At 40.0% G+C, this 27944-nt stretch overlaps 1 long non-coding RNA gene and 2 pseudogenes across 1 annotated transcript; all 3 read left to right on the top strand.

Moving 5' to 3' along the window:
* LOC105377229 (uncharacterized) lies at positions 1 to 27944 on the top strand. Its single transcript, XR_938644.3, has 4 exons — positions 1 to 69; positions 25657 to 25781; positions 26350 to 26521; positions 26669 to 27944. It is a non-coding gene; the product is annotated as an uncharacterized LOC105377229 (long non-coding RNA).
* On the top strand, positions 3916 to 5049 carry ZNF92P1Y (zinc finger protein 92 pseudogene 1, Y-linked; annotated as a pseudogene).
* TRIM60P1Y (tripartite motif containing 60 pseudogene 1, Y-linked) lies at positions 12296 to 13276 on the top strand (annotated as a pseudogene).

The raw sequence follows: 27944 nt of genomic DNA, 5'->3' as shown, positions 1-27944 counted from the left end.
CTTATGATGTGACTCTTCTGCCCATGACAGAGCCACCGAATATACATCGACATATCTTTGGCCCATTATGTAAGTGTTTTGTGTCTTATAACTTGGCTTGATATTTTCCACATGTGGGATGTTGTTCAATGCTGAGTCTAGCATCAAGTTACTGTGATCCAATTTTTTTATACCCTACCTAGAGGAGGCATTGTGACATATTGCTTAGTACACCATCTATGTAATGTTAACCTACTGTCTTGTTTTTTGCTCACATATGGAATTATGACATATACCTTGCTTCAGTTCCCAGGCATGAAGATGAAACTTACATTGGGATACAGCCAATAGGAGATATTTTTCCTCTCATTATTTGTCTTAAGGCAATATGTAAGGTCCTGGGTTGCATATTTGTACCAAACTCACATTAGCTTACAACACTAACTTATATTGTATAAACTGTTTGGTGGTAAAGAGTTTCATAACAGGGTCCAGAAAAAGGTTCAGAATGGAACTCTTGGTTACACACCATAGTGAAATTAAGAGTTGTCACCATTCCACATTTGCAGTGCCCACTCTTGAGGTCCTGAGCCTGACAAAAGAATACAGCACACAGTTAAAATTGTGACATTTTTATGTGGATTTGGCCACAGGGGCGATGGTGACTCATTCTGGACCCAGCCCACAGGCACAATAATGGATCTTCTCCCTTAAACCTGCCTATAGATGTTGACAATACAACCTGGTTTAGAGCAATATATAATAACGTGTTGGTCACTTTAAACAGCATGGACATATTCACAACATTAGGTCTTCCAATCATTGTAAAACAACATGACAAAAAGGGCGCTGTAGCTGGGTGTAGAGGCTCATGCCTCTAACCCAGCACTTTGGAAGGCCAGGGAGGGCACAGGGCTAGTTCAGGAGATCGAGACAATCCTGGCCAACATGATGCAACACTGTCTCTACTAAAATACATAAAATTGGCTGGGCAAGATGGTGCATGCCTGTAATCCCAGCTACTTAGGAGGCTGAGGCAGAAGAATCACTTGAACCTAAGAAGTGAAACTTGCAGTGAGCTGATATTGCTCCACTGCACTTCAGCCTAGTGAAAGAGTGATACTCCTTCTCAACAAAACTAAACTAAACAAAACAGGAAACTGTGTTGTTTAATCTTTATAAGTTTTGAATTTTTCAGCTTTTCTGCTGTTACTGTGTACTAGTTTCTTTCCTCTTGGGCTACAAATAATTGTAAAATTTTAGTTAAAAAATTATTAAGGCTTCTTATGTCGTGTCACATGTGGTCCATCTAGAACAATGTTTTATAAGCTATTGAAAAGAATGTGTATTCTGTTGTCTGTATACATTTGTTAGGTGTAATTATTGTATAATGCATTCAAATTTTCCATTCCTTCATTGATATTCTGTCATGCTTCATTTATTACTTAGAGTGAAATATTGATGTATTATTCCATTATTATATTGCTGTCTATTTTGGTTTCAATTCTGTCAATGTTTGCTTTATGTGTTTGGGAAAATTGTCAGATATTTATAAGTTCTTAGTGAATGAACCCTCTTATTATAATTGAATGTCCTACTTTGTCTCTTGTAAATTATGACTTAAAGTAAATTATATGAATTATGGAAGTTTTCACCTTAATAAATTGTTGCCTCTTCACCTCTCATTTGGTTAACACTTGCGTGAAATGTATTTTTATCCTGCCATTTTTAGTCTTTTTTTATTAGATATGAGTGAGTCTTTTCGAAGACATGACATAGTTAGCTGTTAATATAGATCATATTATATTTAGAGCTTTTTTTTCATTTTGAAGGATACTGTTGCAAAATATAGTATTTTTGCTTACACCTTTTTCTTTCAGGGTTTTAACTATGTCATCCGACCCCCTTCTTGCTTGAAAGATTTATGTTCATACATTTACTGGTAATCTTGCAGAAGCATGAATATAAATAATACATCTGTTTTTTTTCTTCCTGCATTTCTCATTCTCTTTTCTGTGACTTTCAAAACTTGTGTCTTGTAAATCTCTCTTACATTAATTTTATTTGAAATTTGCTGAGCTTACTGATTTTCTCATATTTTTTCTAATGTTGAAGGGAATATTAATCTTTTTTGTACTTCCACTCTACGATTTTTATTTCTTTTTGAGCTTTATATTTTTTGTTGGTTTAATTTATGTTATTTCACTTATTTCCATTTTCTTAATTTCTTTATTTCCATTTTATTCATTGAGCATCAGTGAGATGGTAATGCTAACTTTTAAGGGTAATTTATTTTTTTTTCTTTTTAAAAATGTATCTGGACTTTAACTCAAATTGTCTCTGGTAATTTTTACATCACCTTTTTTTAGTTGATTTCTGGATATATATTTTTATATTTAAATTAACCATATTATCTTGATGTTTTGAATATGTTGTAATCTTAGGTTGCAATTTGTATAATAAAAAGTGGCATCAAAATCTTTATTAAGTTTTTTATTGTCTGGGGGAATATAATACAAATTTTTTAGGCTAGATATTCTTGGGTCTCTGAAGCCTATTCTATGGATGCTTTGTCTGAGTTTGTGTGTTTTTCAGTTTAAAAAATTTTCCCTTGGGAGGCTGAGGTGAGTGAATCATCTGAGGTCAGGGGTTCGAGACCAGCATGGCCAATATGGCAAAACCCCATCTCTACTAAAAATACAAAAATGAGCCAAGTGTGGGGGTGAGCTCCTGTAATCCCAGCTACTGGGGAGACTGAGGCAGGAGAATCACTTGAACCTGGGAGGCAGAAGTTGCAGTGAGCCAAGCTGCCTTCCAGCCTGGGCAATAAGAGCAAGGCTCCATCTCAAAAAAAAAAAAAAAAAAAAAAAAAGAAAAAAGTTTTCCATGTTTTTTCTTCTTTTCTTTTCGTTTCGTTTCATTTCGTTTCATTTCTTTTCTTTTCTTTTCTTTTCTTTTCTTTTCTTTTCTTTTCTTTTCTTTTCTTTTCTTCCTCTCTCTCTCTCTCTCTTTCTTTCTTTCTTTATTTTTGAGTGGGAGCTTCACTCCTGTTACACAGGCTGGAGTGTAATGGCACAGTCTGGGCTCACTGCAACCTCCAACTCCTTGGTTAAAGCGGTTTGCCTGCCTCAGCCTCCTGAGTAGCAGGAATTACAGAAACCTGCCACCACGCCCATCTAATTTTTGTATTTTTAGTAGAGACAAGGTTTAACCATGTTTACCTTGCTGGTCTTGAACTTTTCACCTCTGGTGATCTGCCTGCCTCAGCCTCCCAAAGTGCCAATATTACAGGTGTGGGCAACCACTCCCAGCATTCCCCATGTTTCTTATTGAAATCCTGTTGTCAGTTGCTATACCCATTGTCTGTCTTTGATACTAAAGTCTTTCTTCACTTGTAACAGTCATTTATCTTTGATCTTAGATATCCAAAACTGTCAGTTACCAACTTTCCTTTCAACGCTACCATGGAATATAGAAATTAGCCTATGGTAAGGTCTCAGAAACCCAGAAGCATGGACAGAGGTGCCAATACTTTATTGCTGGATGGGGGAGATGGAAGCTGGGAGTCTATATTTAAAGTCATCATAGGATGAAGAATGGTTGTTGTGGGTACATACAAAACACTTTTTTAAAACTACTATGTGGTTTTTTGCATTTTGCTCACTTACGGTGCTGCAAACTTATACCTGATTCTTAGAGTTCTCACAAAGGCATTTTGTGAGTATATTACTGTTAAGTATAAATTTATATAAATTTATATAAATTTATATAAATTATATAAAAGAATTAGAGCCTGTAATATTTTATTGTCACCTTATTAATGTGCTTTGGTTAATTATATATTTGCAAAGTGTATTCACCTGGGTCTAATGAGGGAGAAATTTGTAGTTCTTTTTTTTTTTAGCTGGGTCTTTTTATCTTACTGTAGATATATTGCTGGAGTATGACATAAAAGAATCATTTCAAAAACTGATCCTGATAAAATATGGAAGATATGACCTTCATAGTTTAAACTTAAAGAAAGACTACCAAAGTGTGGGTAATTCCAAGGTGCAGAAAAGCAGTTATAATGGCCCTCATCAATGTTTGTCAACTACCCACAGCAAAACCTGCCAACCTAATAAATATGGCAAAGCTTTTGAGTTTTGCTCAACCTTCACTGAACATAAAAAAGCCTTAGCAGACAGAAATGCTGCAAATGTGAAGAATGTGGCAAAAACTGTAGGCTGTTCTCAGATTTTACTATAAAAAATTCATACACAGATGGTGTAAATGTGAAGAATGTGGCAAAGACTTTAAAAGTTTTCAAAACTTTCTGAACATAAGAGTTTAAACAGGAGATAAACCCTACAAATGAAAAGGATGTGATAAAACCTTTTCCTGCTCCTCAACTCTTATTAAACACAAGAGAAATTATACTGGAGACAGAACCTACAGATGCAAAGAAAGTGGAAAAGCCTTTAAGTGCTTCTGAAACCTTACTAATTATAATAGAATTCATACTACTGAGAAACCCTACAAGAGTGAAGAATGTAACAAAGCCAATCGATAGTTCTCAGAACTTCATGAACATAAGACAACTCATACTGAAGAGAAACTCTACAAAGGTGAAGAATGTAATAAAGCCTATAAGTGGTTCTCAGACCTTACTAAACATAAGATAATTCATACTAGAGAGAAACTCTACAAATACAATGAACATGGAAGAGCCATTATGTAGTTATCTCTCCTTATAAACATAAAATAATTCATTCTGGAGAGAAACCCTATATCTGTGAAGAATGTGGCAAAGCCTTTACCTACTCCTTAACCCTTACTAGCCACAAAATAATTCACATGGAAGACAGACCTTACAAATATGAAGAATGTGGCAAAACCCTTAAGTGCTTATCAGACCATACCAATCATAAGATAATTCACACTGGAGAGAAACCCTACAATTGTGGAGAATGTGGCAAAGCATTGAGCTCATTCTCACATTTCATTAGACATAAGATAATTCATACTAGAGAGAAGCTCCACAAGTGTTCAAAGTGTGGAAAAGTCTTCAACAAGTCCTCATTTTGTGTTCAACATCAGAGACTTTATACTGAACCAATGTAACATAAAGGTAATGGCTGTTGAAGAACATTTAACTTATGATCTACGAGGGTCTCTAAGAAGTTGCTTTATAATCTGAGTGCTTTTTTGGGGGTGTGTGTGTATATATAGACCTTTACTATTATGTAATGTCCTTCTTTGTCTTTTTTTAAAACCTATATTTATGTAAAGTCTGTTTTGCCAGAAACTAGGATTGCAACCTCTGCTTTTATTCTGTTTTCTATTTGCTTAGAAGATTTTTTTTTCTCTTTTCATTTGAGGTTATTTGAGATGGGTGTCTTGATTACAGCATACCATTAGATCTTGTCTGTTTGTTCAGCTTGTCACTCTGTTTTATTTTTTTGTTTTGTTTTGTTTGAGACAGAGTCTTGCTCTGTTGCCCAGACTGGAGTGCAGTGGTGCAATCTCAGCTCACTGGAAGCTCCTCCTTCTGGGTTCATGCCATCCTCCTCCATCAGCCTCCTGAGTAGCTGGGACTACAGGCACACACTGCCACACCTGGCTAATTTTCATGGCTAATTTTTTGTATTTTTAGTAGAGACGGGGTTTCTCCGTGTTAGCCAGAGTGGTCTTGATCTCCTGACCCTGTGATCTGCCCATCTTGGCCTCCCAAAGTGCTGGGATTACAGGTGTGAGCCACCGTGCCTGGCACCACTTTGTTTTTTAATTGGGGAATTTAGCCCATTTTCATTCAAGTTTAGTATTCATGTGTATGGATTTCATTTTGTCACTATGATCTTTGCTATTTTCAAATTTATGTGGTTGCTTTATAGTGTCAGCAATTTATGTATTTTAGTGTGTTTTTGTAGTGACTGGTTATAGTCTCTTTCTTATTTAATGTTTTCTTTAGAAGCTCTTAAAAGGCAGGTCTTGTGGTAAAAGATTTCCTCAGCATTTGCTTAACTGAATAGGATCATATATATTTTTTTATTTCTGAACCTTACTTTTATCGGATATAAATTTTGGTTTAAAATTCTTGCTTAAGAATGTTGAATATTGGCCCCTCATCTCTTTGACAAGTAGAATTTCAACTGAAAGATTTATTATTTGTTTGATGTCCTTCATTTAGAGGTGACTTGGCTTTCCATGGATGATATCTAGAAATATGTATTTCAAGTGGTTTTCATTCTCTCCATCCCCTTCAGGTACTCTTTTTGACCACAGATTTGGATTCATTACATAAATCTTATATCTTAGATGTTTTGTTCATTCCTCCTTATTATTATTATTATTGTTATTGTTTTTACTCTTCTTGTCTAATTTAAGAAAGCCAGTGTTGAAGCTCTGAGATTCTTTCCTCTGCTTGGCCTATTCTACTGTTTATACTTGTGATTAAATTATAAAGTTTTTGTATTGTGTTTTTTCAGCTCTATCAGATTGGTCATATTTTCCTCCTAAATGGCTGTTTTTTTCTATCCATTCCTGCATTTTTTCCCCTTCATTGCAATGGGTTGAAAGTTAAATTTGTAGCTCAATGAAGTTCCTTATTCTGAATTCTACTTCTGTCATCTTAGGCCTCACTGGAAATGTAATTTCATCATTTGGATGAAAGAAGTCACTATGACTTTTTGTGTTTTCAAAATTTTTGTACTGATTTTGTCTAATGTTTCCATGTATATCTTTGAGGCTGCTGACCTTTGAATTTTTTTATCCCATTTAATGGTCTGGAGTATTTGATGTGGAATAAGGTGTTTGCAACCAACAAGCTTTGTTCCTGGGAGATTTTTAGGCCTCACTGGAAATGTAATTTCATCATTTGGATGAAAGAACTCACTACGGCTTTTTGTGTTTTCAAAATTTTTGTACTGATTTTGTCTAATGTTTCCATGTATATCTTTGAGGTGGTTGACCTTTGAATTTTTTTATTCCGTTTAATGGTCTGGAGTATTTGATGTGGAATAAGGTGTTTGCAACCAACAAGCTTTGTTCCTGGGAGATTTTTTTCTTGGTGGTGGAGGGGCTATGCTCAGCTCACAATTCAGAGGCTGCATACTCTGGGGAAATTGTATCGAGCTCCAACTGTCTTTTCTGGCTCCTTGATATTTGGAGTCCACCACTCTTTGTGACTAAGGTGTCACAGCTTTAGAAGAGAGTTAGTGGATATGGGGTTTCTCCCTGTCTTTGGGCATTCACCTCAGTGGCAAAGACAAAGCAGCTGAGAGTGAGTCACCTGTACCTGCTGGAGACTGTGTGGTCTGTTGCACTAAAGGTGGTGTTGGCTTGGGCAGGATGCGGGCCAGTGAAGGTTATGATGCCTTATTTTTGCCCCCCCCGCCCATGAAGTAATAATTGTTCAGAGAGTGGGAGAATACACTCTTTGTTACACAGTGTTAGCAGAAAAGCAGGGATGAGGCTCTCTGGCTTTCTGCCTACCAAAGTTTTATCTACTGTAGAAGTTCCTGAGGGTAGTAGAAGCATACTGCATTCCCATTTGCTGGTGGGGCAAGCAAAGTCAAACCCACCTTTGCAGACATGTGCCAGCAAAGTAACATGGGGAATTGCCATGGTGTCAGGGGAAGCTGCAGTATGGGAAAGATACATGTAGGCTGCAGAATGGGGAAGATACATGTAAGCTGCAATGATAGTGTCTGCCTTCCTGGAGCTCTTCAGGGGCCAAGCATTGATTACCAGGCTGATGCTATGGTATGGGCTTCTAGGGTACCTGAGACTGCCCTGTAAGAAGCTTTAGCTAGACTGCGACCCTGGGAGAGGCCAGGTGGCAAAAGAGTCCTCAGTTGGACCACCCCCTTCTGATTTGCAACATCATCCTGTAGAAATTAGTTCCAATGGTTCCCCTCAGGCTAAAATCTCTTATAGGAGAAAGTTCAGCCTAGAGAACTCGCCATCACTGGCCATATTTTGCTATAGATGCTCTTGCACCAAACCCTTAGAAATCAACAAGCTGGCTTGCTGCCCCACCTGTATGCCAGTCTTCTGAAGGGCTGCAACTAAGAGAGATGTAGGTGATCAATCCCTCAGTGCAGTCAGCCCTGGATGGAAAATCTGTGCTTTTGGCCAAGTTAGGGGCTCACTGTCTGGTGAGGAGCACTGGGGAGTCTGTGGGACCCATGGAGGATGGACTGACCTCCTTTCCTTTGGTATGCTGCAGCTTGTTTGAGGTGTGAATAAGGAACTTAGGGTTTTGGATTTTTCATTAGTTTCAGGACAGCAAGGACAATTCCACTGCAGAGACAGTGAATAAATATATGCAGTTGCCCCCAGAAGCTCTGTCCATGGAGTTCTTATGTTGTTACTTGCTCAATAGCTGTGGCAATGATTGGCTAGTGGCCCAGGCCTGAAGAACCTACCCAGTGAAAATATATAAGAACAGAAACACATGTAACAGTCTGTCCACTTCTGTGAAGAGCTGCTGCAACTGCAATAGGCTGGGTGTCCACTGCAGTATCTAGTCACCTCAGAATTTCCAGCATCTGAAGTTATCACCAGTGAATGTGCAAAAAAGTAACAATGGCAGCATGCCCTTTTCTCTGGGACCTCCATCCCAGGGATGTATAAACCTGTTTTCAGCCCAAAAGCACCTGTAGGATGTAGCTGGAAATGCCTCTTGAAAGGTATTCCCCAGTGAAAAGAAAGTGATTGGGGATCCACTTAAGAAAGCAGTCTGCTGGGTGCAGCAGCTCATGCTTGTAATCTCAACACTTTGGGAGGCTGAGGTGGGCAGATCAACCAGAGTCGGGAGTTAGAGACCAGCGTGACCAACATAGTGAAACTGAATCTCTACTAAAAATACACAATTATCCAGGCGTGGTGGCACATGCCTGTAATCCCAGCTAGTCGGAAGGCTGAGGTAGGAGAATTTCTTGAACCCAGCAGGCAGAGGTTGTGGTAATCTGAGATTGCCCCAGTGCACTCCAGCCTGGGCAACAGGGGGAATACTCTGTCTCGAAAGAAAGAAGGAAGGAAGGAAGGAAGAAAGAAAGAAAGAAAGAAAGAAAGAAAGAAAGAAAGAAAGAAAGAAAGAAGGAAGGAAGGAAGGAAGGAAGGAAGGAAGGAAGGAAGGAAGGAAGGAAGGAAAGAAAGAAAGAAAGAAAGAGAAAGAAGGGAGGGAGGGAGGGAGGGAGGGAGGGAAGGAAAGGAAAGGAAAGGAAAGGAAAGGAAAGGAAAGGAAAGGAAAGGAAAGGAAAGGAAAGTCTAGCCACATTTTTGTAGAACAGCTCTGCTTTGCAGAGGTACCACTTCCATCCACAGTTTATTTGGATCCTCCAAAGCCAGGAGGCAGGAACAGCTTAGTCACACAAACAGGAAAAAATGGCAGCTCACTCTTTGCTCTAGGAACTATAGCCAAAAAAGATTTCAAAATTCCATCTACGAAACAGGGCCAGTGATGTTAGCTGGAGATACTCATTGGGAAGTACTTTTCAGTGAGGAAGAAGGAGATTGGGGACCTGCTTTAACAGGCAGTCTGGCCATGTCTTTTTAGAGCACCTGTACTGTGCTAAGAGATCCTTTGTGCTTCTAGTAAGCTTGGGCTCCTCGAAGTCTGAAGGCTGGAATGGCTAAGTTTATCAAGCAGCAAAGATTGTGGCCAACTCCTTTTTCTGATTGCTTGATCCCAGGGAGGTGCAGTGCTTCTACCAATCATTGGCTGGAATTCAAAGCCAGTACATCTGTGAGGCACTGAGAAAATGTTTCCTACAGACCATCACTGCTAAGCCCCCTGGATTCTGCCTTTTTCCTATGAGTATGTACAGGGTTGTAGCATCCTTCTTTTCTGGAATTGCAGCTACTTTTTCTGGGAAGCCTAGAAACATATCTATCTAAGGCTTTTGAATCACTGCACAATCCTGAGCGGCTGCTCTGCTGAGACTCCATGTAGCTATGTGTCCTATACAGAAGGCTTTGGTGAAGTGGGTTTATGAGGGGATCACCTCACCAGAGGGTTGCAAAGATCTGTGGAAGAATCATGGGTTCCCAGGATCTCACATTCACATTCTGCCTTACTGGGTGTGACAGTTTCCCTGCCTCCATGTTGTTTTCAAGAGTCCCAGTGTCCTGTCTTGCTTTACTCCATTCTTCTTATGTTAAGTTGCTTCTTTGATTAGTCCTGATGGAAATAACTGGAAGTTTCCACTGAAAGTTATGTATTTATGCACACCTTGCATTCCTGTCTATGGGAACTCCGCAGTCTAGCTGCCTCTTTCTAGTCAGCAATCTAGATCACTTTCCCCTAAAGGGAATCTATATTTATATTAAAATAATTTAATATTTTTTGAAAATAATAAGTATTTTCAAAAACAAATATTGATGTAATTTATCTCTTACTTTGATGTTATATCTTTATTTCTGGAATGTATGTGAAAGAACATGGTCAATAGTTGCTGCACCAGAGTTATGAGAGATTCTTCTATATTAGAAGGACAGATTTATATACTTTTCCATGGAAGATGAGGAAAACCAAATCTAATATACTTGAAGAATTTATATGTGCAGAGGCAACTTAGTGGATGGTTTAATTGGGTATCATAAATGACAGTATGATAAGAGTGTGGTAAGGGCAACATTCTGCATAGTAAAAGAAACAATTTGATTTTTAGTTGGAAATTGATTTACCATTTGCAAATTAAGGTAATCAAAATAAAGTGAATTCTAAAATGCCTTTTTAATGACAATGTGTGGACTCTATTTGTTTTAATAAACCAATATTGTTGTTATCATGTTAAAGCTATTGTACATTGAATGTGTATCTTGCCACCGATGTTAAGTTATCCCATATTAACCAAGGCTATAGGTAACAGATGGTAACAATATGCTACTTGGGGACAGGGGAATAACATCTCTAGTAATGTTTTTGTGTTGTCAGTGTTTTTTAACTTAAAATAATTTGGAAAGTATATTTCTTAAAACTTATATTTTTGTTTTCTTTGTAACTACAGCTTATTATGATGGTGGTAATGAAGATATAAATTAGTATAATGGAGCTATATGTTTCTGAATACTAAACAACTATTTACAACTTTTATCCTACTTTTGTTCTATTAAATATATGACATCTCTGCTCTGATAAACACATACAGAACTTTAGTTTTGATTTACATGAATTTAAATATAAGAAGCATATTACTGTAAAATAAACTTTAGGCATGTAATAAATTGATAGAAAATAATCATATTTGTTTATCATTGCTTACATTGAGAAGAAAAGAAAAATATTAGAATAAAACAGATAATTTTACAAGTGTTCATATCTTACCAACAAACCAGAAACTTCAAAGATTTTCAAAGCAAATCTATTTTCTCTGCTTTGTATTAAACTCCATGATGTAAAGTGTTATTGCTAGTGGCTTAGAATAATCTTCTGCAAATTTTTCTCTTTTTTTGTATGTTTGCCTGTTGCTCACCCTAAATATAATATATAATTTTTTCATCTAATTTCATAAAACACTCTTTGGGCTGGACTTGGTGGCTCATGCCTGAAATTCCAGCACTTTGGGCAGCCAAGCCAGGTAGATCTCCAGAGATCAGGAGTTTGAGACCAGCCTGGCCAACATGGTGAAACGTTGTCTCTACTAAAATTACAAAAATTATCTGGCCATGATGTTGGGCTCCTGTAATCCCAGCTACTCAGGGGGCTGAGTAATGGAGAATCACTTTAACTCAGGGGACAAACATTAAAGTGATCCAAGATGGTGCCATTGCACTCCAGCCTGGGCAATGAAGTGAAACTTCATCTCAAAAAACAAACAAACAAACAAACAAACAAACAAACAAACAAACAGGCATTCTTTCTACACTCCCCTCAGAAATTATGAAAGTGACTTAGATAAAATTTAATGCTTTTCAGAAAATAATTTTCACATGTGAGTAATTTTATAGTGTGTATATGTTATTTATTTTGTACATTTTACATTTTTCAATTATAGAATTCTATTTAATCCAATAAGCCAATATTTGTTTAGTTGTTGTCTATTTTACTCTATAAAAATGACATAATTGAGTTTATTAATTTTATTGGCCCAATATATTCAAGTAAACAATAGAATTCTTAATAAGTCATGAGGTTTTTTTGACATGTACATGAAGTAAACAAAGATAATACTAACTATGTAAAGGAAGCTACATAATTATAAATAAGTATTCTTTTTAAAATTAGACTGTGGTCTCAAGTGAAACATTTAAAATATCTATAGTAAAAAATGACATTAATTTTGCATATGAAGAGAGCATAATTGTACCAATGCTGCAAGACCACATCTCAAAGTTGAAACAAGATTAAGAGATGGACATTTTAGCAAAACTAAATGAAATCATCCTAAAATTTTCAGATTATGTTTCTACATTTAAACATCTATGGAGAGAGGTAGTGCACAAGTCTATCCAGTCAAACTTGAAATGGCTGACACATGTTAATATTATTTACCACATGCATGGTCAGAATTCTATTCATTTTGATTAACAAAGTACAGTTTTTGTCTTCCTTCTCTAAATTCTGGCTTAGACGGAATTATCAATCCTTTTCATGTAGACTTGATTCTAGATTTATTTATTTACTTACTTTTTGATATAGAATCTCACTATGTCACCCAGGCTGGAGCACAATGGCATGATCTTGGCTCACTGAAACCTCCACCTCCTGGGTTCAAGTGACTCCCCTGGGTCAGCCTCCCAAGTAGCTGGGACTACAGGAAGGGGTTTTCATGCCTGACTACATTTTTGTATGTTTAGTAGAGATGGGGTTTTACCATGTGAGTCAGCATGTTTTGGATATATTGACCTTGTGATCTTCCTGCCTTGACCTCACAAAATGCTGGCATTACAGGCATGAGCCACCATTCCCAGACTTGATTCTATATCTTGACACAACACATTTTCAACTTATTGTTTCTGAGGATAGAAAAGCTGTGTTATATGGAAGAACAAACCAAACATTTGTTATAATTCAAGGAGATTTTACTTGTGCCCTGCTGTCCTGGATTCTCAGAAGTGTAGGGCTGACAGACATTACTAGAAGGTAGAAGTGGGAAACAATCTTAATGGAAAATTGTGTGCGTGTCAAGATTGTCTTCTTAGGAACTGACAGGATCAGCCTTAAATTCTGGGTTTATTATGGGCAATTGGGTGATATATAAAAAGTGGCTATGGTCCATCATGTTCTATGCCAACCCACCTTCTGCAAGTAGTAAAACTCAGTAAGACTAGTGTTTGTTTGAAGTATGAATTTTGTGATTTTTATTTTTATTTTTATTATTTATTTATTGTTATATTTTAAGTTCTAGGGTACTTGTGCACAACGTGCAGGTTTGGTACGTATGTATACATGTGCAATTTTGGTCTGCTGCACCCAATAACTCATCATTTACATTAGGTATATCTCCTAATGCTATCCCTCCCCCTTCCCCTCATCCCACAACAGGCCCCAGTTGTGATGTTTCCCTTCCTGTGTCCAGATGTTCTCATTTTTTCAATTCCCACCTATGAGTGAGAATATCTGGTGTTTGGTTTTTTGTCCTTGCAATAGTTTGCTGAGAATGATGGTTTCCAGCTTCATCCACGTCCCTACAAAAGACACACACTCATCATTTTTTAGGCTGAATAGTATTCCATGGTGTATATGTGACACATTTTCTTAATCCAGACTATCATTGATGGACATTTTGATTGGTTCCAAGTCTTTGCTATTGTGAATAGTGTCACAATAAACGTTAAGTGTGCATATGTCTTTGTAGCAGCATGATTTATAATCCTTTGTGTATATACCCAGTAATGGGATGGCTGGGTCAAATGGTATTCCTAGTTCTAGATCCTTGAGGAATCACCACACTGTCTTCCACAATGGTTGAACCAGTTTCTAGTCTCACCAACGGTGTAAAACTGTTCCTATTTTTCCACATCCTCTCCAGCACATGTTGTTTCCTGACTTTTCAATAATAACCATTCTAACTGGTGTGAGATGGTATCTCATTGTGGTTTTGATTTGCATTTCTCTGATGGCCAATGATGATGAGCATTTTTTCATGTGTCTGTTGGCTGCATAAATGTCTTCTTTTGAGAAGTGTCTGTTCATATCCTTCACCCACTTTTTTATGGGGTTCTTTTTTTTTCTTATAAATTTGTTTGTGTTCTTTGTAGATTCTGGATATTGCCCTTTGTCAGATGAGTAGAATGCAAAATTTTTCTTCCATTCTTTATGCTGCCTGTTCACTCTGATGGTAGTTTCTTTTGCTGTGCAGAAGCACTTTAGTTTAATGAGATCCCATTTGTCAATTTTGGCTTTTGTTGCCATTGCTTTTGGTGTTTTAGACATGAAGTCCTTTCCCATGCCTATGTCGTGAATGTTATTGCCTAGGTTTTCCTCCAGGGTTTTCATGGTTTTAGGTCTAACATTTAAGTCCTTAATACATCTTGAACTAGTTTTTTACAAGATGTAAGGAAGGGACACAGTTTCAGCTTTCTACATATGGCTAGCCAGTTTTCTCAGCACATTTATTAAATGGGGAATCTTTTCCCCATTTCTTGTTTATGTCAGGTTTGTCTAAGATCAGATGGTTGTAGATGTGTGGTATTATTTCTGAGGGCTCTGTTCTGTTCCATTGGTCTATATCTCTGTTTTGGTACTGGTACCAAGCTGTTTTGGTTACTGTAGCCTTGTAGTATAGTTTGATGTCAGGTAGCGTGATGCCTCCAGCTTTGTTCCTTTTGCTTAGGATTATCTTGGCAATATGGGCTCCTTTTTGGTACCATATGAACTTTAAAGTAGTTTTTTCCAATTCTGTGAAGAAAGTCCTTAGTAGGTTGATGGGGATGGAATTGAATCTATAAATTACCTTGGGCAGTATGGACATTTTCATGATATTGATTCTTCCTATCCATGAGCATGGAACGTTCGACCACTTTTTGTGTCCTCTTCTATTTCATTGGGCAGTGGTTTGTAGTTCTCCTTAAAGAGGTCCTCCATATCCTTTGTAAGTTGGATTCCTAGGTATTTTCTTCTCTTTGAAGCAATCGTGACTGGGATTTCACTCATGATTTGGCTCTCTGTTTGTCTGTTCTTGATGTATAAGAATGCTTGTGATTTTTGCATATTGACTTTGTATCCTGAGATGTTGCTCAAGTTGCTTATCAGCTTAAAGAGATTTTGGGCTGAGACAAAGGGTTTTTCTAAATATTCAATCATGTCATCTGCAAACAGGGAAAATTTGACTTCTTCTTTTTCTAATTGAATACCCTTTATTTCTTTCTCCTGCCTTATTGCCCTGGCCAGAACTTCCAACACTACGTTGAATAGGAGTGGGGAGATAGGGCATCCCTGTCGTGTGCCAGTTTTCAAAGGGAATGCTTCCAGTTTTTGCTCATTCAGTATGATATTGGCTGTGTGTTTGTTATAAATAGCTCTTATTATTTTGAGATACATCCCATCAATATCTAATTAATTGAGAGATTTTAGCATGAAGGGCTGTTGAATTTTGTCAAAGGTCTTTTCTGCATCTATTGAGACATTGTGGTTTTTGTCTTTGGTTCTGTTTATATGTTGTATTATGTTTATTTATTTGCATATGTTGAAGCAGCCTTGCATCCCAGGGATGAAGCCCACTTGATCATCATGGATAAGCTTTTTGATGTGCTGCTGGATTCAGCTTGCCTGTACTTAATTGAGGATTTTCGCATCAATTTTCATCAGGGATATTGGTCTAAAATTCTTTCTTTGTTGTGTCTCTGCCTGGCTTTGGTATCAGGATGACGCTGGCCTCATAAACTGAGTTAGGGAGGATTCTTTCCTTTTCCATTGATGGTAATAGTTTCAGAAAGAATGGTACTAGCTCCTCCTTGTATGTCGCATAGAATTTGGCTGTGAATCCATCTGGTCCTGGACTTTTTTAGGTTGTTAGGCAATTAATTATTGCCTCAATTTCAGACCCTGTTGGTGGTCTATTCAGGGATTCAACTTCTTCCTGTTTTAGTCTTGAGAGGGTGTATGTGTCCAGGAATTTATCGATTTCTTCCAGATTTTCTAGTTTACTTGCATCAAACCAGAATTTCATATCCAGCCAAACTAAGCTTCGCAAGTGAAAGAGAAATAAAATCCTTTAAAGAGAAGCAAATGCTGAGAGATTTTGTTACCACCAGGCCTACCTACAGGATCTCCTTAAGGAAGTACTAATCATGGAAAGGAACAACTGGTACCAGCCACTGCAAAAACATGCCAAATTGTAAAGACCATTGATGCTGGGAAGAAACTGCATCAACTAATGAACAAAATAACCAGCTAATGTCATAATGAAAGGATCATATTCACACATAACAATATTATCCTTAAATGTAAATGGGCTAAATGCTCCAACTAAAAGACACAGACTGGCAAATTGGATAAAGAGTCAAGACCCATCAATGTGCTGTATTCAGGAGACCCATCTCATGTGCAGAGACACACATGGGCTCAAAATAAAGAGATGAAGGAATATCTACCAAACAAATGGAAAACAAAAATGGCAGGGTTGCAATCCTAGTCTCTGATAAAACAGACTCTAAACCAACAAAGATCAAAAGAGACAAAGAAGGTCATTACATAATGGTAAAGGAATCAATTCAACAAGAAGAGCTAACTATTCTAAATATATATGCACCCAATACAGGACCACCCAGATTCATGAAGCAAGTCCCTAGAGACCTACTAAGAGACTTAGACTCCCACATAATAATAATGGGAGATTTTAACACCCCACTGTCAACGTTAGACAGATCAACGAGACATAAAGTTAAAAAGGATATCCAGGAATTGAACTCAGCTCTGCCCCAAACGGACCTAATAGACATCTACAGAACTCTCCACCCCAAATGAACAGAATATACATTCTTCTCGGCACCACACCACACCTATTCCAAAATTGACCACATAGTTGGAAGTAAAGCACTCTTCAGCAATGTAAAAGAACAGAAATTATAACAAACTCTTTCTCAGACCACAGAGAAATAAAACTAGAACTCAGGATTAAGAAATTCACTCAAAACTGCTCAACTATATGGAAACTGATCAGCCTGCTCCTGAATGACTGCTGGGTACATAATGAAATGAAGGCCAAAATAAAGATGTTCTATGAAACCAATGAGAACAAAGAAAAAATACACCAGAATATCTGGGACACATTTAAAGTAGTGTGTAGAGGGAAATTTATAGCACTCAATGCCCACAAGAGAAAACAGGAAAGATCTAAAATTGACACCCTAGCATCATAATTAAAAGAACTAGAGAATGAAGAGCAAACACATTCCAAAGCTAGCAGAAGGCAAGTAATGACTAAGATCAGAGCAGAACTGAAGGAGACAGAGACACAAAAATCCCTTCAAAAAATCAATGAATCCACGGGCTTGTTTTTTGAAAAGATCAACAAAATTGATAGACTGGTAGCAAGACTAATAAACAAGAAGAGAGATAAGAATCAAATTGATGCAATAAAAAATGATAAAGGGGATATCACAACCGATCCCACAGAAATACAAACTACCATCAGAGAACACTATAAAGACCTCTATGTGAATTTGGTGATATTTAAAAATAATATACATGATAGGTTTTTCTGTATATTTTTAATGATTCTTTCACAAGAGCTGGTTGGCCTTATTTCTTTACTCAAGCAGATTCTTAATTGTTGTACCCAAGCAAGTTAAAAAATACACCACACTTTGAGATGAATTAAGAGTCCTTTATTAAGCTGGGCGCCAAAGAGATGGCTAATGCTCAAAATTCTCTCGGCCCCGAGGAAGGGGCTTGATTAACTTTTATACCTAGGTTTAGGAAGAGGAGGGGGACTCAAATGCAATAATTCTACAGAAGTAAAAACATGCAAGAATCAAAAGAAGCAAACTGGTTACAGAGAAATAAACAACTTAAAAGACAAATGGTTACAAGAAGAGCAATGGTAGTAGGTGCAAGGTTCTAAATCTTTCATTATAATTAGATATAGGGTCTATGCCAGACATGAACTCCAGGTTTTATGTTGTCATCTCTTTGAGAAAAATCCTGGGAACTTCATACATTGTTGGTGTTAGTACCTTGTCAGTTACTTGGGCTCTTTTGAAATGCTGAGGATCTGTTTACCCAGGCCAACTCCTTACAAAAGGGGGTTGGGTAAGGAGCCCTTAGTGTCTTATAAATTAAGGGGTCAATTGGAGTTGGTCCGACCTTCTCAGCTACAGAGAGTCTTATTTACATGAGAAGCAAGGATAGGTGATTAAAGAGACAAGCAGGACAAAATTCAAAGTAATGAGTTAGAGTAAAAACAAGGTTAGGCATTTCATTTCCCCACTTGTGTTTTAGGGGAATCAAATCGTTGATTCTTCAGTTACAGCAAGGGGGTTATATTGAGTTCTTAGAAACATAAGTTTGACAGAGTCTATGCATTGCTTTACAAAATTAAGGAACCAGTTTAATATACAAGGCCCAAAAATCAAACTCAATAATATGATGATGATGGGTCCAGCTTACCCAGTGATTAAAGTAGTTAGCCAAGGGTTCCAGTTGAACAAGCTTTGATACCAGGGTGTGTTATTTTCTCATTCTTGTTGTCACCTATCTAGATTTTCTTGAACTTTTTGGAGTTTATCTTTTATGAGTCCAGATTCATTGGTGTAAAAACAAGAGCTTTCTCCTAGAGCTGCACATAATCCTCCTTGAGAGAGGAACAGCAGATCTAGACCTCGGCGGTTTTGAAGCACTACTTCAGCTAGAGACTCTACCTGAGAATGTAGTATATCTATGGCAGACTGAAGGTTATTTAAATCAGCATCTACCTGTTGAGACAAGGACATTAGTCCAGTTTCTCCCTGAACCAGGGCAGCCATGCCAATGTCTGCTGATCCAGCTATGCTGAGAACAGCTAATAGAGGAAACAGTAGTGGGGCAGCTTGGTGTAGCCTGGGATATAATTCCAGGGAAGCGATGAGGAGTTGTCCTTCTGATCCACTGTACACGTATACCTGGGGAAGAACATGAACCAGAACACACAAGAGAGGTCCTGGTTCAGTTCCATTAATGCGGCGAGTGAGACCTGAGGTGCAGGCCAGCCAGGTTTTGTTAGGTGCTTGGTAAGAGACTGAGATCCTCATGGGAGTAAGCAGAGACTAATTACAAACATCCTGAAAAGGAGAAATAGATAAGTCATGCCCAGTACTAATTAGACAAGAAGCATTTCCAGACACATCTCCTAATGTGAAAGCACGAGGTCATGTGTGACAGGATAAAGGACCACTTTTAAGTGTCACCTCTACTCCTAATCCTACAGAATAAGGGGGTTTTGCTTTTAAACATAGTCAACAATCCTGGGCTAGTTTAGTCTGGGTGAGGTTAAGGAAATTATGTACTCTACCAAGTATAGACATCCGACTGGGTTGGAGTTATTGTCTTTGCAGCTGGGTCTTAGGAACTGAGAATGGTGGAGGAACAATTAAATCAACTTTGTCAGGGCATTTTTGGAACGTAGGGTCACCTAGATCAGTGAAAGGCCCGAGTGGCTTAGGTGGGCTTCAGGAAACCAAAATTTTCTTTTGGATGGTGAACATAGTTCCAACATCGAATCCTGGGATGTAAAGTCTTAATCCCCATGACATACCATAATATCATTGAGCTGAATTAGGTTCATGGACAATTATGTTAAGAGGATTACAGTTATTTTTAGAACATGATTTGGGATGAGAAGCACGACTTATTGAAAGAGTTGGAGATCTAGTTGATCCCACAGAGTAGGTGGCTAAAGTTACACATGTCCAATCTGGGCAGAAGAACTGTTAAGTATCTCGACAGCTAGCATCAGGGTGATTTCGAGGACAGAGGTAAAAGTCAAATTTTGGAGTCCTTTTTCAGCAGCTTTGCAGCTTCCACATCCGGCTTGGCTCCCAGAGTGTCAAAATCCTGCTGCAAGGTCGACACTTCCTGCTCCCATGACTGGCAGGTTGTTATGCTCTTTGTGGGTATGAGCCAGTTGTGGGAACAGTATACATAAGTCATTTGCAAAGATGACTTCCTTGGAGGTACCAGACTTCCAAGTAGCATTGGTGAAAACACGTCCTGTTGTGAAAGAGGTGAGGAGGAAGGAGTAGGAAGGCACAGAAGACATTACAGGCAAGGATAAACAGAAGAAGTAAATAAAAAGAATTAATCTAACAGTTTCACCCCACTCAGGTGCAGTTTTAAGGGCTCTGACCCAGGCTTGGGGACCCATGTTTCTGTTTGGGCTTTGTTGTCCTTTTTGATGTGGGACTGATGAATCCAAGCAGGAATTCCATCCACCTTCAGAGCTGTTGGCGTCATGAGGATGACAGTGTGAGGTCCCTTCCAAGCAGGAGTTAGTCCTTCTCTCTGGAACTTTTTAACAAACACTAGGTCACTGGGCTGGAACGAACGGCAGAGCCCTTCTGGTGAGGAACTGGACTGGGATGGGCTTCTTGAACAAGTGGCAGAAGATCTCTTGTACCTGTTGGAGAGACTGTATGTACTGCAATAAATTAGCTTGTGATATTTCTGCTAAATGGGCATCTTTTAGCTCAGGCAGGATACGTGGTGCCTGCCCATACATAATTTCAAAAGATGAGAACCCAGCCTGATAAAGGGTGCACCTTACTCTAAATAGGGCTAAAGGAAGAGACTTACCCAATTTTCACCGGTCTCTAGAATTAATTTTGTAAGAATGTTTTTTAGGGTGCGGTTCATGCTTTCTACCTGTCTAGAGCTCTGGGGTCGATAGGCACCATGGAGCTTCCACTGAATGTTCAATGCCTTACTGACTCACTGAGCTATGGATGAGGTGAAAGCAGGTCCATTATCAGACCCTATGGCAGCAGGCAGCCCATATTGGGGGATGATTTCATTGACTAAGAACTTAACTACTGTGTTAGCAGTCTCATTCTTGGTAGCGAATGCCTCAGTCCATCCAGAGAAGGTGTCTATTAATACTAAAAGGTATTTGTACTCAGCCCCGTGTGGATTTACTTCAGTAAAGTCAATTTCCCACTTTTCTCCTGGTGAGTTTCCTTGGAGATGGTGACCTGGGCTGGGTTTAGGACCTTGCTTGGCATTTACCTGGGCACAGGCTGTGCACCAGAGAACTGGTTGATTTGTTAGGCTTTGTAGATGAGGGATCTTAAAACAGCTCTGGAGGAGGTGGGCTAATTTTGTCCCACCTAAATGGGTGGTATAATGTAGATGACTGACTAAAGTTTCTCCAAGAGCTTGGGGTATGAAGATTCTAGAGTCAGGAAGAATCCACCAACCTTTCTGATTTTTATTTGCTCTAAGATGTGAAGCCAATTTTTCTTCTTCTGCTGAGTATGCAGGGTTGTCAGGCAGATCTGGCTGTGGAAAAGAAACTGCTGGCAGCAGGTTTATGGGCCAAACTGAAGACCGTGCCACTTCCTGAGGTGCTGAATCAGCTTTTTGGTTACCGCAGGCAATGGCCGTGTTTTCTTTGTGATGTCCTTTACAATGGATTACAGCCACCTGCTGAGGGAACCACATGGCTTCAAGCAGGGCTAGAATTTCCTCTTTGTTCTTGATAATTTTTCCGGCTGAAGTGAGTAACCCCCGTTCTTGGTAGATGGCTCCAGGTACATGCACAGTAGCAACAGCATGCCTGCTGTCAGTGTAAATGTTAATACGTTTATTCTTACCCCATCGGAGAGCCTGAGTAAGGGTGATTAATTCAGCTTTCTGCGCTGAGGTGTTCGCTGTGGTAACAGCTGCACTGGCTTTTTGTATCCCCTGCTCGAGGGAACTTCTGCTGTCCATGAACACGGTGGCGTCCGCCTTTTTCAGGGGCACATCTTGAAGATCTGGCCTGCCAGTTTTGATAGTTTCTAACAGCTCCTGACAGTCATGGACAGGAATATTAGAATCTGGATCTGAGAGTAGTGTAGCAGGATTTAAACACCTTGTGGGAGAGAAAGTCAAGTGAGGCTGATCCAACAGTAAACTCTGATATTGTAAAATGCGAGTATTTGACATACATTTACCTGAAGCACTTTGTAGTAAAATCTCTACAGCATGAGGAGCCATAAGGGTTAAATTCTGGCCTAGAGTTAACTTATCAGTTTCTTGGACTAGGCTTGCTGTAGCCACTATGTCTTGCAAGCAACTTGGCCATCCTGAGGCCACAGGATCCAGCTTCTTAGATAAATAAGCCACTGGGCGTCTCCAAGGTCCTAAAGTCTGAGTAAGCAACCCCTTAGCAACTCCCTGGCTCTCATGGACAAACAGATGAAAAGGCTTTGAGATATTTGGGAGGGCTAAAGCAGGGGCTGCAGTTAAAGCCTTTTTCAGATTTTGAAAACCCTGTTCCTCAGTGTCTGTCCAAATCAGTGGGCCATTACCTCTTGTAGCAGTATACAAAGGCTTTGCAAACTCTGCAAACCTCAATATCCAGAGATGACAGTATCCCATGGCTCCCAGTAATTCGCGTACCCTTCTCTTGGTGGTGGGAGTGGGGATTCGCAGGATGGCTTCTTTCCGGGCACTGGTGAGTGCCCTGTTTCCTTGGTTTATCTCGTACCCCAGGTAGGACACTCTGGCAAGACAAAGTTGGGCCTTTTTGGCTGAGACTCCATACCTGAGCTCCTGAAGGAGGTAGAGCAGGTCCCTTGTGTGTTGTAGACAACTGTCCATAGTTTCAGTAGCTATTAAAATATCATCTACATACTGAAGAAGAGTACAGTTAGGGTGACTAGCTCGGAAGGGTATAAGATCTTGCCGAAGAGCCTCCCCAAAAAGGGTGAGGTAACTCAGTCCAAGTCAGCTGGGTAGTGTCTCCTGATCTTGGATCTGTCCATTCAATTGCAAAAATAGGCTGGCTTTTGGGGGCCAGAGGAAAAGCAAAGAAAGCATCTTTCAGGTCAAGAACAGTACATACTGTATGTTCTGGTGGGAGCAGGCTGAGTAGAGTATAAGGATTAGGGATGGTTGGATGGACAATAACAGTCCATTTATTAACTTCCCTCACGTATTGTACTGGCTGGTAATCATTTGTCCCAGGTTTCTGGACCGGCAAAAATGGTGTGTTACAGGCCGACTGACATGGTGTAAGTATGCCAGCTTGTAACAGTCATTGAATGTGGGGATTAATCACCTCTCTAGCCTGCTGACTCATGGGGTATTGCTTTACCTGGACCAGTATGGCAGTAGCCAAGAATTCTACAACCTCTGGCAGATGGTGTTTAGCCAGTCTGGGAGGGTTTGACTCGGCCCAAACTTGGGGAAAAAATGTCTGTATGTCCAACAAAAGAGTATTAGTATTTTCCTCCGGTGATTGTGATGGTAAAACCAGAAGGTATTCTTCTGACAGATAGGTAGTTAGCAAGAGTTGGGCAGTTGGGGAAGTTTCATTTCCTAGTGTGAGATGAGCATGCTGAGCTGAAAAGGAGATTGAGGCCTGTAACTTATGGAGCAGGTCTCGTCCAAGGATAAAGGAAAAGGACACTCTGGAACCACCAGAAAAGAGTGTGTCACTCTTTTCTGTCCCAAGTTTACTTCTCGGGAGCGTGTGACAGGGTACTCTTGAATAGCTCCAGTTGCCTTTGTACAGTTATTTTTTTTATTTGAGACACTGCCCAAGGGAGTCTGCAGTACTGAGTGTTCTGCCTCAGTGTCTACTAGGAAACGTACAGGCTGGTCCTCCACTGTAGCAGTTACTATGGGATCCTGGGGGCCAAGAGTGAGGGAGCCCTGGCCCCATCAATTATCAGGCTCCTCTGTTGCAGGCAGGGTGAGAATCTTTTTGTTTTCTGACTTTTCTTTTGGCAGCAGGGGGATCTCCTTTTTCCAATGCCCAGTCTGCTTGCAATAGGCATATTGGTCTTTTCCTAGAGGGGCCTGTTCACCTCTTTTATTTTTCTGGTGGGAACCCGAGGGTCCTTGGTCAATCTTCTGGAATAGGAGCCTTTCCTTTTTGCCCTCTTGGATAGCGGTTTCCAAGATTTTTGCTTGTCTTTTACATGGCTTATCAGCGGCTTTTTCAGTTGCCTGTGTTGCTTGTTTTTGTTTTTCAAATTCTCGGTTTTCAATAACTTTCTGGGCTATTTCTAAAAGCTGACTGATGTTCATCCTAGCAAATCCTTCCAGTTTTTGGAGTTTTCTCCTAATATCTGGGGCTGCCTGAGCCACAAATGCCAAATTAAGAGCACAGCTATTCTCGGGAGCCATGGGGTCAAAAGGGGTATAAATTCAATAAGCCTCCTGGAGACATTCTAAAAACACTCCTGGTGACTCATCAGGCCCCTGGACAGCTTCAGTTGTCTTAGACAAGTTTATGGGCTTCCAAGTGGCTCTTTTAATACCTGCAAGGAGATACCAGTGAAAATCGTCCAAAGCTCTCCTTCCACCTGAGGAATGTGTGTCCCAATTAGGCTGGGTGGAGGGAAAGACCTCCTCCAGGAGGTCTCTAGCTTCCTCCTCAGGCCTGCCGGCTGATGCAAGGAAGTGCTTTCTGGTCTTTCTTTGGATATGCTCCCTCTCCTCAGAGATAAAGAGAGTTAAAAGGAGCTGTTGGCAGTCAACCTAGGTGGGTCAATGGGTCTGCAGTATGGACTCCTTCAGTGAGGTCAAAGCCTGAGGCTTTTCGGAGAAGGGAGGATTATGATTTTTCTAATTATACAAGTCAGAAGTAGGAAAAGGGGCATAAACCAGGGAGGGGGCTGAGTGTTCATCCCCTGGAGGGACTTGTGCCTCTCTCAGTGGCAGTAGAGGGGCTGCTTCCTCCTGCTGCAGTCACAGCTGAGAGGCAAAGGGTGGTGAGCCCACAGGGGATGTCGTGGAAGAGACATGGGAAGATGCTAGAGGGGCAGGTTGGTTGTAAGGTGGTGGAACTGGGTGAGGGAGACTCTCCTCTTCTTCATAGGGAGGCAAAACAGGGGGAGCTGAATCAGCTGAGGGTCGAGGCAAAAATGCGTCCTGGCTCAGGAGGATTTTGGAGGTGGAGTTGTGAAAGGCACATGAACAGAGCCATGGAGGAGGATTTTTAACCAAACTTAACCATTGATCTATATATGGAAACTGATCAGGGTGGCTGGGAGTTCTGGTAACAACTCGCCACATGCCTTGAACAATGATAGGATTTAATGACCCTTCAGAGGGCCATCCAAATCCAAACTTTGGCCATTCTAGTTCACAGAGTGTCTGGAGCTTGCCTTTTCTAAGGCGGACTCCATAGTCCTCTGAGAAACCAAGAGAAAATTTTTTCAGCATACCCTGGAGAGGGCTCCAAACTTTATAGGGCTGGGAGGAAGTGTTTCCCATTTTATTATTATTTTTATTATTTAAAGGCAATTTAGCAAAGTCTCAAGCAGGGATATCAGATCCAACACGGGCAGAGAAATTCTTTCCCTGGGGGGCTGGAGTGTCGGAAAAACAGAATTAACATGACCAGGAAGAACAACAGAAAAACCACAAAAACTAATACTACTTGCCAAATTTCTGTAGCTTTTAGATTGAGGGAGGGGGATTAGGGGTCAACCCAAGGTCTCCTGGGACGGTTCGAGCTAGGCATTCTCCCTCTTCCTCTTCCTCTAGACCTATATCCTAGATATTTTTGATGTCTCCACGATTCAAAAGCAAACAGTTCAAATTCAGCTTTTTCCCTTAAGGGTTCAAGGAGTGAGAGCAGAGCCAAGTCTTGGAGATGCTGAACTTGCTGTCACACTGGAAAACAAGATGCATGGGGTAGGGGGCAAGGATGAGGGGGAAAAGGACCACTCAGATCATCCTTAAGGTGAGAGCGTAGCCACAGGGGAACAGAATAGGAGTCTAAACGAAGTAAAGCATGACGGTCGTAGGTTTCCCTACACAAGGTCTTATTCAAGGGCACAGGAAAAGTTACAAAATAACAAAAGAGATCAGCAAGAAGGTCTGCAAGGTGGCTGTTTTGAATCCACCACCAGTTCAGTTTACAAGAGGACCAATCACTAGGACGTGGGGTATGACAATCTAAATACCTGCAACCTTAATGGTGCCAGAAATTCCGATCAGGTGAATGTTCTCCACACTCTTTTCCATAACAACACCTTACTTGTTTATGACAGAAAAGACAAGACTGTGGTGGCCAGCCTAAATGATTGATGAGAAATTTAACCTCTTGTGACAAAAAAGCAGCACTAAGGTCCTTGAAGAAATTTTTACCCAGACCTCATGGACAATATCGATGTCCTGACATATAACACCTTGACAACTATTAAACAAGACAATAGACACTGAAAAAAACAATAAACATAAAACAAACAATTGACCCTAGGGCATGTAAACAATTATGACAGTTTTCCCTTTTTTACCTTCTTTATTAGACAGACAAGGGAAGGAGTTCCCGTGATGCTGTCATTCAGATGCCCGCCTGGCTGATCCCCCAGAGGGGACTTGGGCTCCTCTTAGCATCGACAGGCTGGTATAAACCCCTGGCTCAGATCGAGCTATGCCCGGTGCTGCCTTAAGCCTTAGGAGGTCGCCACGGAACCGCAGGTGAGGGCCCACTTGAACTCTGTAGCTTTCACCATAGAGCTACAAACTGGAAGACAAATGCAACCCCTTGTCCTCCCACAGTCACACACCATTTACACAGAGTTTATAACAATTTTTTTCTCTTTTTTTCTTCCTTTTCTTTCCCAGAGATTGTCCAAGAAACCTGAACAACAGAAGGATGTAAGATAGACAAGAGAGAAAGAGAGAGAGAGATCGAGAGTCCGGTCTTCCGGAAACCAAGGCTTAGCTCCCGCCTCCTGGGCCCTGAGCTAAGTCAGTGGAGGGTCCTTGTCAGGACCACTTCCTACCCAAACCAAGATACAAAAGCACCTACCAGAAAACCAAGGCTCAACCCACTAGTGTCCTAGAGTAACAGGCTGAGTCAAAAGAGGGACGCCCTCATCAGGGCCACTCCCCTCTTACCAGAAACGAAGTCAAATCTGACTTACCTGACCCCGGGGTCAGAAGCTGAGGACTCAGATGTTGAATTTTAGGGCAATGACACGGTGGTCGATCCGCTCTCCTCCGGAAGGCAGTTACTCTTCTGGGACCTTAAAAATTATTTCCTCAGGTGGCGCCCCCCATCCAAGCCAGCCGTCCTTCCGGGGGAGCCCAGAGTGAGACCGGCTCTCACCCAGTGGAGTTAATTTCTCACTGGGACCTCCATTATGTTGTATCCAAGCGAGTTAAAAAATATGCCACACTTTGAGACGAATTAAGAGTCCTTTATTAAGCTGGCGGCCAAAGAGATGGCTAATGCTGAAAATTCTCTCGGCCCCGAGGAAGGGGCTTGATTAACTTTTATACCTAGGTTTAGGAAGGGGAGGGGGACTCAAATGCAATAATTCTACAGAAGTAAAAACATGCAAGAATCAAAAGAAGCAAAATGGTTACAGAGAGATAAACCACTTAAAAGACAAATGGTTACAAGAAGAGCAAAGGTACCAGGTGCAAGGTTCTAAATCTTTCATTATAATTAGATATAGAGTCTATAGAAGACATGAACTCAAGGTTTTATGTTGTTATCTCTTTGAGAAAAATCCTGGGAACTTCATACATTGTTGGTGTTAGTACCTTATCAGTTAATTGGACTCCTTTGAAATGCTGAGGATCTGTTTACCCAGGCCAACTCCTTACAAAAGGGGGTTGGGAAAGGAGCCCTTAGTGTCTTGTAAATTAAGGGGTCAGTTGGAGTTTGTCTGGCCTTCCCAGCTACAGAGAGTCTTATTTACATGAGAAGCAAGGATAGGTGATTAAAGAGACAAGCAGGACAAAATTCAAAGTAATGAGTTAGAGTAAAAACAAGGTTAGGCATTTCATTAATATCAAAAAATCTGCTCATTATCAGATACTGAAAGATAAAGTGAATGAATCTGTTTCAGCTTTTCTGGTTAATTAAACTACCATCAGAGAATACTATAAA

This window comes from Homo sapiens, chromosome Y (genome assembly GCF_000001405.40).
Source record: "Homo sapiens chromosome Y, GRCh38.p14 Primary Assembly".
NCBI classification, from domain to species: Eukaryota; Metazoa; Chordata; class Mammalia; order Primates; family Hominidae; genus Homo; species Homo sapiens.
This window is presented reverse-complemented; position numbering and strand designations above follow the sequence as displayed.